Consider the following 14,212-nt stretch of genomic DNA (forward strand, 5'->3'; position numbering starts at 1 on the left):
AAGAAGGTGTATTTTGCTCTTGTTGGGAGAAGTGTTCTGAAAATGTCAGTTAGATTCTACTGGTTGATGATATTATTCATTTCTTTATATCCTTGCTGGATTTTCTGTGTGGTAGTAACTAGGGGGTATTGAAGTCTCCAAGGATTGTTATGCCTTCTGTGCCTTCTTGGTTGACCAACCCTTTTATTCATTATGTAGTGTTGCTCTTTGTCACTGGTTATTTTCTTTGCTTTGAAGTGTACTTTTTCTGTTAGTGTAGCCATCCCAGCTTCTTTTCATTTGTGTTTTCATGCTATATCTTTTTTCATCCATTTTCTTTTAATGTACCTTTATTATTATATATGAAATGGGTTTCTTATAGACAACATATAGTTGGTTCATGTTTTATAACCACACTTACAATTTCATTTAGCGTCTTTGTATTATTACATTTAATGTAATTAAATGTATAATGAGCATTTCAGATTTTGTATTTTTGAATTTGAGATGCTCAACTTGTACTTAAATTTTTTGAAAGTCAAGCTCAAACTAGATGCTCAGCAAGACTATCTTTGGAGTTTGCGGGGAAGAGAGAGATCCTGTCAGACATACAAAATCTGAAGAAAATTCACCAAGAACAGACTCAAGTTATAAAAGAATGTTTAGAAAGATCTTCAGAAAGGAAAACAATACTGGATATTATTACGTTATCCAGAAAGGAAAATAATACTGGATATTATTACATCCATAATGTAATTAAATGTAATAATACAAAGAGTGATCATCTGTTTACCCATTTATTTGTTTTAATTGTTCTTTGTTCATTTCCTGGTATCTTTTATTGACTTTCTCTGGTGTTAATATATTCATTCTAGCTTTCTTTTCATTAGTGTTAAAATGGTAAATGTTTTTCCAACCTCTTAACCTATTGTCTCTTTATATTTAAAGAGGGTTTCTTTTACGCTATAGATATTTGTGTCTTAATATTTAACAATCTCTGCCTTTTAATTGGAGTGTTTAGATCAGTTGCTTTTAATTGGATTATTGATATGTTTAGATTTAAGTTTACCATCTTTGTTAATTTTTTATTTTTCCTGCCTATTTTTTGTTCCCATTTTCTTTTTTTTCCTGCCTTATTGCAGATTCAGTGTGTGTGTGTGTGTGTGTGTGTGTGTGTGTGATTCCATTTTATTTCCTTTTTGGCTTATTAACTATAGCTGTTACTTTACTGGAAACTCTAGGATTCATAGTATAAATCTTTAATTTATCACAGTCTGTATTAAGTAATACTAAACCACTTCGCATATAAATACATCACAACAGTATACTTCCGTTTATGCTATCTTGGTCTTTGTACTTTTGTTTTTGTACATTTTACTTTGGCATAAATGTCAAAGTACAGTATTGTTATTTAGCTTTAAATATTCATTTGCCTCTCTCCTTAATGTAAAAAGGCTTCTTCTCAACTTCCTGACATTTCTTGCTAAACTATACACGTCTGCCCTGTTTTCCAACAGCACACTGTTCTGTTCTGTCCCTTATTTTTTTCTTTTTTTTTTTTTTTTGAGACGAGTCTCGTTCTTTTGCCCAGGCCGGACTGCAGTGGTGCTATCTCGGCTCACTGCAAACTCTGCCTCCCGGGTTCACGCCATTCTCCGGCCTCAGCCTCCCGAGTAGCTGGGACTACAGGCGCCCGCCACCACGCCCGGCTAATTTTTTGTATTTTTAGTAGAGATGGGGTTTCTCCGTGTTAGCCAGGATGGTCTTGATCTCCTGACCTCGTGATCCGCCCACCTCGGCCTCCCAAAGTGCTGGGATTACAGGCGTGAGCCACCGCACCTGGCCTATTCTGTCCCTTTTTAAAGCAGTTCTCTTTTAAAAAATTGTGGTAAGATATAAATAACATAAAATTTGCAGTTATAACCATTTTAAAGTATATAATTCCATGACATTAATTACAGTCACAGTCTTTTACAACTATTATTACTATGTATTCCTAAAGTTTTTTTACCCTGTACCCCCAAATTGAAGCTTTACCCATTAGACAGTAACTCCCTGTTGCTCCCACTCTTAGCCCCTGGTAACCATTATTGTACTTTCTGTTTCAATGAATTTACCTAATCAAGGTACCTTATTTAAGTGGAATTATACAGTATTTGTCATTATACAGTATTTGTCATGTGTGACTTATTTCACTTAGCATAATTTTCGAGGATCATCCATGTTGTAGCATGTATCAGAATTTAATTCCTTTTTATGGTTGAGTAATTCTCCACTGTACAACCATACTGCGTTTTGTCTATCAGTTCATAGATTAATGGACACAAGTTGTTTCTACCTTTTGTCTTTTGATAATGCTGCTATGAACATTTGCATGCAAAATCTGAGTCCCTGAACCAGTTTATGTTTACCCACATATTTACCATATTTACTAGAGCTTGTATTCATTCCTTTGTGTAAATCTGTCCAGTATTGTTTTCCTTTCTGAAGCTCTTTCTAAACATTCTTTTATAACTTGAGTCTGTTCTTGGTGAATTTTTTTCAGATTTTGTATGTCTGATAGGCTCTCTCTCTTCCCCCCAAACCCCAAAGATAGTTTTGCTGAGCATCTGTTTGAGCTTGACTTTCAAAAAATTTAAGTACAAGTTGAGCATCTCAAATTCAAAAATACAAAATCTGAAATGCTCCAGAATCCAAAATTTTTTGAGCACCAATGTGACACTTAAGGAAATGCTGCTGGAACATTTCAGATGTTGCATTTTCAGACTTGGGATGCTCAGGTGGTAAGTATAATGCATCTATTCCAAAATTGGAAAAGAAATCAGAAATCTGAAATACTTTTGGTCCGAAGCATTTTGGATAAGGGGCACTCAAACCTGTATGTTAAATATGTCACTCAATTTTCTACCAGCTTGCATCGTTTATAAGGAGAAATCTGTTGTCAGTCTTATCTTTGTATCTCAAAACATATAGTCTGTTTTTCTCTGACTTGTTTTAAGATTTTTTTTTTAAATCATCAGTGTGTATGCTTTGTAGCATTGTGGTGTGTGTTTCTGTTGAAAGTAGTTGTGTGTTTGTGTATTGTGTGAGGTGTTTTGTATAAATGCAAACTTGTGTGGGGAGGCATTTTCTGTGTGTTATTTTGTGTCGACAGTTTGTGTATGTTGTGTGGGGATGTGATTGTAGATGTTGGGAGGGTATTGTGAGGGGATACTTTTTTGGGTGCTTTTGTTGTTTTGTATCTCTGGTATTACAGTGTCCTACCTGGTCAATGTTGTCTTTATTTTGATTATTTATATATGAGGATAGGACTTTTTATACCAATTAAAATGTTTTTGTTTATCCCATTCTTTCTGTTTCTGTTTCTTCTGTTTTCTCTTAAATTTATTGTCTTCTGCTGTTTTGTTTTCTTGCTCCATCTTTTTCTTTTTAATATTTTAGACTTTATATCTTCTCTGATCTTCTTTGAAGTTTTAACATGCATATTTAACTTTAGATTTCAGGATTTAAAATATTTTCCTTCCCCCAACTTAAGGACTTCATTAGCTTTGGTCACTCCCTTCCTGAAATGACACTTTTGTTATTGAAGGTATTTAAAGTGTGACTTTTTAGAAATTCAACAATATGCACACACCAGTTTTTCACCACACCAGTAAATGTCTCATATGTAGTCCTTAAAAAAATTACTTTTGTATGTGTTGTATTATGGTGACCTCTTGTATGTTAGATTGTGCTTGTAGGAACATTTCTTTAGAACAAGTCTTCTGGTGGTAAATTACTTTGGTTTTTATCTATAAATTGTTTATTTTTCTCTAGTTGACAATTTTAGGTTAACAGATTTTTTTCAGGCACTATAGAGATAATATTCCTCTCTGTCTTTTACTGTTGCTGTCAAAGCCTGCTCATCTGTTTTGTCCTGTCTTATCTCTTAGTCTATTTTCTAGTTCTTCTGTTTGGTTTTTGGTGTTTACAGTGATGTTGATTTCTTTTTATGTATCTTGTTTGGGCTCTTTTGGTTTTCCTGGATCTGTGAAGCCATGTCTTTTATTGGTTCAAGAATATTTACAGCTATTTTCCATTCTCTGTCCCTTCTCTTTCTAGAGCTGCATTTAATCTTGTGCCAGATATTTTCCTTTGGTCATTTATGTCTTTTAACGCCACTTTGATATTTTCAGTTTTCTTTTCTTTCTTTGTTTCCTGTGGTTACGTTCTTTGCATCTTTCTGTTCTCTAATTCTCTCCAGCTATGTCACACCTGCTCTTTAATCTTTCCATTGAGTTTAATAGTGGTTCCAGCCTCACCTTCATTCTGTTTATTTCTGATAATGGGGGATGATGTCCCCGGAGACTTTGCCTACATTTTGAAAGACCAGTGATGCCTCTTCTTCAGAATATTGTTATGGTGCACTGTTCCCTCAGAGCTCTTCATTTATCATGATATATGGAAGTGAGACTCTCCTTTGCTCTAATTACCATTATTCTTCAGACAATATTTTAGCAAGTTTTGAAGTAGCAAACAGTTTTGAAGGAAAGTTTTAGAGGCATGAGGATAATAAAAATACTTATTTAGTCCTGTTTGCTGAGAGATTTTCTGATTTAGTAGGATTGAGCCCAAGAGTTTGCATTTCTTAAAAGTTTTCAGCTAAAGCTGATGCATCTGGCCTGGGGACTACACTTTGAGATGCACTGGAGTAGATGTCTTGACACTGATTATTTCACCTTTCAGTTAGGGGTGTTTGCAGGCGTGATCATTTTATTAACACTGAATACAAGTGCAATGAAAGTTTCTTTTGACACTTAACTAGCTTGTTTAAAATCACTGCATTAATGTTTTATTTTAGTGATCATTCAGGATATGTTCGTCCAGTACCAGTGCCACGCAGTTTAAATAGTGATATTTCCTATTTTGGTGTTGGGGGCAAGCAAGCTGTCTTCTTTGTTGGACAATCAGCCAGAGTAAGTAAAAAGATTTCTTATAAATGAAAGTTGATCAAAATATTTTGAAGTTGACTCTGTCTAAATGCATTAACCAGTTTATTAGGAATTTAAAAAGTACTCTTTTTAATATTTAACAGATGATAAGCAAACCTGCAGATTCCCAAGATGTTCACGAGCTTGTGCTTTCTAAAGAAGATTTTGAGAAGAAGGAGAAAAATAAAGAGGCAATATATAGTGGATATATTAGAAACAGAAAGGTACAATACATTTTAACTCATAATTATAAATTTACTCCTTTGGATAGACGGTGGGACAGAACTTAACTTGAAAGTATGAAATTTTCAAAATGAGTTACCCTTTCCTTTAGTCATAATAACAAAAATGGGCTTTCTCAAGCCAAAAATCTTCAGACAAGTTGTCTCATAAAGCTTACTAAGCTTTCTGTAAATTGCTTGTAGGATTGTAAGCTTTTTTCCCTGGTCTGAATTTGGGTTTTAAAATCTTTGTTGTATAATAAAATTATAGAGTAGAAAAACAGTAACAGGGTAATGGACTTTCAGGAAATTGGACCTCTAGAGAAATAAATGAGAGATTGCTCTTACAAGTTTGCATTGAAATTCTTGTGTTCATAAGACAAAATGTTAACAAATTTGAATCTTGGTGGCAAGTAAATGGTATATTTATTGTATATTCCTTCAACTCTTCTTTGTTTGAAACATGATTTTTTTTCTTTTTTTTTTTTTTTGAGATGGAGTCTCACTCTGTCTCCTGGGCTGGAGTGCAGTGGCGCAACCTCAGCTCGCTGCAACCTCCACCTCCCAGGTTCAAGATATTCTCCTGCCTCAGCCTCTCGAGTAGCTGGGATTACAGGTGCCTGCCACCATGCCCTGCTAATTTTTTTTGTAGTTTTGGTAGAGACAGTGTTTCACCATGTTGGCCAGGCTGGTTTTGAACTCCTGACCTCAAGTGATCCGCCTGCCTCAACCTCCCAAAGTGCTAGGATTACAGACGTGAGCCACCGCGCCCAGCCTGAAACATGATTTTTAATCTAAAATCTTTAATATATAAGTTAGTTTACTTACTATTTTAAGAGATGGGGTCTCACTCTGTCCCTCTGGACTAGAGTGTAGTGGTGCTATCACAGTTCACAGCAGCCTCGAACTCCTGGACTCAGGCAGTCTTCCAACCTTGGCCTCCCAAAGTGTTGGGATTACGGGAAAATATTTATTTTAAAGTGATTTTGGGCTGGGCATGGTGGCTCAGTCCTGTAATACCAGTACTTTGGGAAGCTGAGGTGGGAGGATTGCTTGAACTCAGGAGTTTAAGACCAGCCTCTGTAACATAGGAGACCTTGTCTCTACTAAAAAAAAAAAAAAAAAAAAAAAAAGCCGGGTGTGGTGGTGTGCGCCTGTAGTCCCAGCAGCTCAGCAGGCTGAGGTGGGAGGATCACTTGAGCCCAGCTGCAAGTGAGCTATGATCATGCCACTACATTCCAATTTGGGCGATAGAGCAAGACTGTCTCAAAAACAATAAAAAATTTTTAAAAGGTAATTTTGAACTTTTAAAAATTTGGCTTTCTGATTCTAAAACAACTTGTAGGAAACTTTATAGAAAAGCCTAAGGAAGATAAAAATACTCCCAAGTCCTAGAGAAGCCTACTGAAACATTTTGGTGAATTTCCTTCTAATTCAGCTTTTTAAAATATATACTTAATAGTTTTGATCCCACATTTAAAAAATTAACATGTTGAGTATTTCCCCATTATAAAATATTTTGATACACAATGGTTTTTAGTAGCTTTATAACATTTCCTTCAATGAATGTAACATAATTTCATGATTCTGTTGAGCATTTGGCTTATTTAAAGGATTTTACAGTAATTGTAAAGACATTGCGATGAGTATCTTTGCATAACATCTTACCTGAATTACAGATTTTTTTCTTAGGTTAGATTGTTATAATTTTAATAGCTGTGGTAATGAATTTGAACTTTTTTTTTGAGACAGAGTCTCACTCTCTTGCCCAGGCTGGAGTGCAGTGGCATGATCTCAGCTCACTGCAACCTCTGCCTCCCTGGTTGAAGCAATTCCCCTGCTTCAGCCTCCTGAGTAGCTGGGATTACAGGCACATGCCACCACACCTGGCTAATTTTTTTCTTTTTTTTTTTTTTTTTAGTGGAGATGGAGTTTCACCATGTTGGCCAGACTGGTCTCAAACTCCTGACCTCAGGCAGTCCGCCCACCTCGGCCTCCCAAAGTGCTAGGATTACAGGTGTGAGCCACCACGCCCAGCCTGAATTTGAACTTTTTAAATGTTCATGGCATGTATTTCAAAACTGCTTGTCAGAAAGGTTAAACCCAAAGTCACATACACTTCCAACAACTGTATGGAAGCACATTTCTGATCATTTATTTTTCAAAAGAATGAGAAGGGGAGAGGGCAGCAAAATGTTGGCCATTTGATAATTGAAAAAAAAAAAAAAAACCTTTTCTTTCATTAGTTGATGGGTTGGATTTTTTTTTTCCATTTTATTATCCACTTTTATTTTCTCGATAACTTAATATACCCTTTGTGCAGGACATTACTTTCTTTTCTTTGTTTCATTTACTTAACAAATTGCATATTTTGATATTTTTACATAACAGTATTCCATCTTGTCTTAACCACCACAGAGCCCTATAAAATATAATGGTGGAAATATTACTTGCCATGATAAAACTGGTGAAAAATAGGAATTGAGAATTTAGGTGGTTTTCAAAACTGTGTGCATATTACAAAGCTTGTATACAACTGTGTCTCTTGGAGCACCATTTTTCTGCCAGCCTTTTCTGTGTTTTGTGCTTAGTTCTTCCCAACAAACATTTCTTGGGTACCAACAAGTACCTGGTCTGTTTCCTTTTCTGACTAGTCTTTTCCAGCCTATTTTTGTTGGACTTCTATCTCTGATCTGTGAGCAGTTTTCAGAATGTGGGTGGAATTGGTGGTTCTTGTTCTATAGTCAACAGTCTTACCTTTTCTAAAGATGTGTTATTTGCTACTTATGTCAAAAGCTCTCAAATCTGTGTTTCGTGTGAAAACTTTTCTCAATACTGAGACACTGAATCATGCTAGCTTCAGTAAAGGAAACAGACCATCCTGGGCCTTTTAACAGAAAATATTTAATAGAGGGAATTAGATGCTTACCTGATTATTGGAAGGGCCAAAGGAATGAATTATGGGCTAAGCCTTCTAGAATGATGCCAGGAATCTGAAGTTATCCTGGAGGGATGCTGCAACATTTGCTATAATCATTCAGTTAGAGGACCACCACTGGGTCTGGGATTCAGGAACTCGCTGCTGTATCTGTGATCCACGAGTTGGAATGATCTCACTGCCACAATTGCTCCAAAACTGGAAAACAGAGTTTCTGGCCATAACTAGGGCTGCAGTGGCCTTTTGACACTTTAAACCTGAAACCTGGTTACTGATCTTTCAGTGCCTTGTGTGATAACACAAAACTTTTAAAAAACTTCAGGAAATAGCCTCTGCTTCATTTTTGGCATCCACATTTTGGCTGGTACATCTAATTGGTGAAAACTAATTTGCATCCACAATCCAAACAGTATTTTTTTGCCTTCCAACCTCTGCAGCCCAAGAGAGTACAGTAAAAGGTGGTAGGAATGGGTGATGAATACCAACTGATCATATCCAGTACACTCATTTCCAGGTTCAATTAGATGTTCTTTCTTAGGTGTTCGAGGAGTAACTCACTTTTGGTACCTTTGAAGTCAAATATTGGCTGGGCACAGTGGCTCATGCCTGTAATCCTAGCAGTTTGGGAGGCTGCGGAGGGAGAATCTCTTGAGCCCAGGAGTTCAAGACCAGCTGGGCAACATTGAGAGACCATGTCTCTTAAAAGAAAGAGATCAAATATTATCCGTAAACCTTTCTTATTCTCTCCTTCTCCTGTCTTCCTCTCAACTACCCTTTACAATTACTGGCATCCACTAGCCATGCAGTTAAAGTTGGTAATCCTTTTTGTTAATCATTCAGCACATTTAATTTTGTCTTTTATATTATTTTCTTTCATCTATCCTCTCTTCCACCCACTTTCCACTGCTCTAATTCAGCCATCCCGCTTCATCTTTTATCATGTTTATCGTATGTCCTAAAACTACCTTGTTTCCTTTATGCTCTTGAATTCATGTTCTCATTTGTCTGGAATGTTATTATTCAGTCATCTGCTGGGTGACTGTCACCCTCGTTTTACCTCTGTAGCTCTTGGTTCATATCTTCATACATAATAGCATATTGTTTTGTAATCATTTGTTTTTTCATCTCCTACCAGATGGAATTTGTAGAGCACAAAGGCACTGTCTTATTTATCTTGAACCTATCTTTCTCAGGCCCAAGTTGAGGCATAGGACTTACAGAAGATGCTTGATAAATATTTGGATAATGAATTTGCATCGTTAGTAAATTCAGACTAATCTCCTGACTCAAAGTATATGAAATGTTACTTGTATATATTGTAGCTGTGATATTAGCAATTAGTGTATAGAGATGCATTATAATGGTTTTGAAGGGGTATGGTCTTAAGGATTTATTGTTTTTTAAATCAGAAATTTTAGAATTTGATAGACAAATTCTGAAAGAGCTGTAACACTTTTTAATTAAGCAAGTAATCATACATACTTATTTTTAAAAATCAACTTGATTTCCTAGATAGAATAGTTTAGTCTGTTTTTATTTCCACAGTTTTATAATGTATATAGCAACATACACAGTAGATATAGTCTCCTATCACTTAAGGACAGGGATGCATTCTGAGAAATGTGTCATTAGGTTATTTTGTTGCTATGTGAACATCATAGAGTGTACTTATACAAACTTAGATGGCATAGCCTGCTACACACCTAGGCTATATGGTATAGGGTACTGCTCCTAGTCTACAAATTTGTACAGCTTGTTACCCCAGGCAGTTGTAACAGAATGGTAAATATTTGTGTAGCTAAACATAGAAAAGGTACACTAATTTTACAATACTGTATCATCTTATGGGACCACTGCAGTCAATTGTTGACAAAAATGTTATGTGACATATGACTGTATATGAATACACACACAAACGCGCATGCGTGCATACCATGTTTTTTGTTTGTTTGTTTGTTTGTTTGTTTGTTTTTTGAGACATGCTTGTTGCCCAGGCTGGAGTGCAGTGGCGCGATCTTGGCTCACTGCAACCTCAGCCTCCCGGGCTCAAGCGATTCTCCTGCCTCAGCCTCCCTAGTAGCTGGGTTTATAGGCGTGTACCACCACGCCTGGCTACTTTTGTATTTTAAGTAGAGATGGGGTTTCGGCTTGTTGGCCAGGCTGATCTTAAACTCCTGACCTCAGGTGATCTGCCCGCCTCAACCTCCCAAAGTGCTGGGATTACGGGAGTGAGCTACCACGCCCGGCCTGCAATTTTTTAAAACATAGATTCATACTACAGATGGAGAAGTTTGTAATTTTATCCTCAAATTCCCCTACTAACTCCCTTCCATAAGTTTTAGATATTCTCTGAAAGTGGGTTGGTGTCCAGGATGATTTTACTTTTAAGCACTATGTGTTTGGGCTTAGCTAGCTGGGTCCAGCCTGCCCTGTAGTTTTCTTGAACATGGAGGGCTGGGCATTGGTCCTGACCAAGTTAAGTGGTAGGTCTCCCAAGCAAGCGTTCATTCTACCCTAGGGGTAAGTGTCCTCAATTTTTTAAGGCATTTTAAAACTCAGTATTTGTCTTTACCTTTTCGTTTATGATTCTAAAATCGGTTTAGCATTATAAGATAGGGTGCTCTTTATGCATGCTAGTTTAGCAGTCTGTGTGAAAGTTCCCTTGTCTTCACAGTGTTGTCACATACTCAGCCAGTTTGTTGTATTGGGCCAGTTTCCTCCAAAGCTTTTCTGAAACCTATTTGTGAAACTCCAAGTAAATCACATTAAAATTTGATGCAATAGCTATTTGTATAATTATAATTTAGATGATTTAATCTGTTGTATTTCTGTTCACTCTTGTAGCCCTCTGATTCTGTTCACATTACAAATGATGATGAAAGATTTCTACATCATCTTATCATAGAGGAGAAGGAAAAAGATAGCTTTACTGCTGTGGTTATCACAGGGGTACAACCAGAACACATACAGTACTTGAAAAATTATTTCCACCTTTGGACACGACAGTTAGCGTAAGTAATTATATTTGGCTTAGGAAATGTTGCTACTTAACTTTTTTAAGGCAGAAAACATTACAGATATATTGAAGCCTCTTTGGTATCCGTTTTGCTCCTGTCTCATTTTCTTCCCTTTAGTATTATCCAGTACTCTGATATTGGTGTTAAAACAGCTCTCTATTCATTTATTCTGTAAATATTTATAGATCACCTCTAGTGTACTGAGCATTATTTGAGGCACAGGATTTTGACAATATTATAAAATTAAAAAAGAACTTCACAGTTTGTCAGATTGAGCACTATATCACTTCCATGACCCCGTTTTGTGCTTCTTTTCCATAGGACCTGTCGTAATCTTCCATACCATATATATTTATTTTTGTTGTTAAATTCACTGCTGTATCTCCAATGTCTTCTAGAAGAATACTTGCTACATGGTAGATGCTCAAATGTTTATCAAGTGAATGAATGCATCAAGCCTATTAAAATAAAAAATATACGTACATATGTGCCTATATGACATTAGTACTGAAAATAATCATTGTGTTTTTATTCCAGTAACACTTGTAGGGACTCTATATTCCATTAGACCAAATCAGAGGAATAGTTATTTAATGGCTCTAAAAAAAAATTTTTTTTTTTTTTTTTGAGACGGAGTTTCACTCTTGTTGCCCAGGCTGGAGTGCAATGGCGCACTCTTGGCTCACTGCAACCACCACCTCCTGGGTTCAAGTGATTCTCCTGCCTCAGCCTCCCGAGTAGCTGGGATTACAGGCGCGTGCCACCACACTCAACTAATTTTTGTATTTTTAGTAGAGACAGGTTTTTGCCGTGTTGGCCAGGCTGGTCTTGAACTCCTGACCTCAGGTGATCCACCCACCTCAGCCTCCCAAAGTACTGGGATTACAGGCGTGAGCCATCGCGCCCGGCCTAAAATTTTTTTTTTATAGCTATGTGATACATACGATTTACTGTATTGTTTCCCTAATTTGCATTAGTATGAATTACTGAGACTTGCAAAATGGGTACATCTGCTCAAAATTCATATTTTAAAAATGTATCTTTTTACATTTACCCAAAAGGCTATTGTTCTTGAGAGTCTCAATTTTATACGTAATTATACGCTAAGAGAATTTTAAAATTTTTTTATGGGAAAATAAATTTGGTTTTAGGAATACCTTTTTTCTTGTTGAAGTTGTTTATTATCCCTGTTACCCAAGGTATTTAAGTAGGACTTTGCAGTTTTCTTCAAGTACATATTTTATTAGCTATTTTATAGTTTATTGAAGGAACTCAGTGTACATTAACACATAATTTAAATATACTCTTGCTCTAATGAAGGATTATGAAGAAATATTGCAAATTTCTATTTCACGAATAAAGACGTGGTATTTTATAATCCTGAACAATGTTACCAAAATATAATCTTTTTTAACCTTTTCTGAAAAAATAAAGAGGTGTTATTTCCAAAATGTTGGTTTTCAGTGAGATGGTGTCAAACTTACTAGTTTTGTTTTTGGAATCTTAGGGTAAGATTGTCTCAGTGCTATAGGAGAGGAGAGATGAATGTTCTAGAACAGGGGTCCCCAACGCCCCGGTCGTGAACTGGTACCCATCTGTGGCCTTTTAGGAACCCGGCCCCACAGTGAGTGGTGGGCCCGAGTGAGCATTACCACCTGGCTCCGCCTCCTGTCAGATCACTGGCAGCACTAGATTTCTCATAGGAGCACGAACCCTAATGTGAACTGTGCATGTGAGATATTGCGTGCTCCTTATGAGACTCTAGTGCTTGTCGATCTGAGGTGGAACATTTTCATCCCAAATCACCCCCCTTCAACTCCCATCTCTGGAAAAATTGTCTTCCATGAAACTGGTTTTGGTGCCAAAAAGGTTGGGGACTGCTGTTCTGGAATGGTATTCTCTTATTGAGATTAGATACCTAATCCAGTTTACCACCGATAATTGAGTCCTTTCTGGAACGTACCTGGTAAGTAGAATTATAGACTCTTGCTGTCTAGTTTATATTTATTTGATGAATTATTCCTCTTGGAAGTGGTGTATGTGGTCTTTGAAGTTGGAAAGGTCTGGGTTGAAGCCCACGGCTCCCTAACTCTATTCTGTGATGTCAGATAACTTACATACACTTCTTGCACCCCAGGTTCTATATCTGTAAAATGAGATGCAGTAATACCTGCATCTCAATTGTTTTTACCATTAAATGGAATATGTATTTTAAAATGCTTAATAAAGTGCTTGATACCTAGTAAATAGTGTTAAAATATTTTGATAGAAGATTACATTAACTATAATTTTATGTGAATTAAAAGTATAAAATTATTCTTCTCTATTTTAGGCATATTTATCACTACTATATTCATGGCCCAAAAGGAAATGAAATACGAACATCAAAAGAAGTTGAACCTTTCAACAATATTGATATTGAAGTAAGAGAAAAATCCATCTTAAAATAATAAAAATTATGAGATATTTGTTCCAGTTCCAAATGACTCAGGATAATAAAAAACACTTGATAATTAGACAACTTCTCTCTCCTTGTTTTTTACCAAACTACTTTCATTGTTTGATATCCAACTAAAGAGATTATTCCTAGATGTATTTTTCTCAAACCTTTATTTACTGTAGGCTTGGTTTATCTTTTTTTGTCTCTCTTCTGTGGAGCTATGCATTGTTACTGAACATCAATCATCTCTTGAAGCATGGAGGAAAAGGGAGATAATGTAGCTTTCCTTTTGTTTGTAGAAGTTATATCGTGGTGACAAGGTTTAGCAGCACAGAGCATTTGAGTATTGGATTCTCAATCCTCTAACCCACACGTTAGAATTTCACATACGATGTTGTCCCACTTCCTACCTCTAGCAAGAAACCTCGAATTAAATGTACTCATGACTTTTCTGTCCTTCAGCTCTGATTTGCTGTTTCTTTGCTTACTTTATATTTTTTAGTAGTATGTTCCTTATTGAGATGCTACTTAAAGCTGTTTAACTCATATGTAAATATATGTATTTCATTAAGCCAGATTGTTACTTGTACAAATAAACATAATTTTTACTTATTCTGTTGTTGAATCATAGCTGAGAACAAAAGTAA

General features: G+C 36.2%; 1 protein-coding gene across 10 annotated transcripts in view; it reads left to right on the forward strand.

Moving 5' to 3' along the window:
• The window catches only part of SMCHD1 (structural maintenance of chromosomes flexible hinge domain containing 1), a 149,292-nt gene that overhangs the window by 27,849 nt on the left and 107,231 nt on the right, over window positions 1-14,212 (forward strand). For all 10 annotated transcript variants that reach the window (XR_001753172.2, XR_935055.3, XR_007066135.1 and 7 more), the window contains 4 exons: window positions 4,820-4,934; window positions 5,054-5,173; window positions 10,953-11,119; window positions 13,458-13,548. Coding sequence is in view for 7 of the 10 variants with exons in the window: in XM_011525642.2 (XP_011523944.1) it covers window positions 4,820-4,934; window positions 5,054-5,173; window positions 10,953-11,119; window positions 13,458-13,548 (493 nt within the window). In the remaining 3 variants the exon portion in view is untranslated. The remainder of the gene's footprint in view (window positions 1-4,819; window positions 4,935-5,053; window positions 5,174-10,952; window positions 11,120-13,457; window positions 13,549-14,212) is intronic.

Source organism: Homo sapiens, chromosome 18 (genome assembly GCF_000001405.40).
Source record: "Homo sapiens chromosome 18, GRCh38.p14 Primary Assembly".
Taxonomy (NCBI): domain Eukaryota; kingdom Metazoa; phylum Chordata; class Mammalia; order Primates; family Hominidae; genus Homo; species Homo sapiens.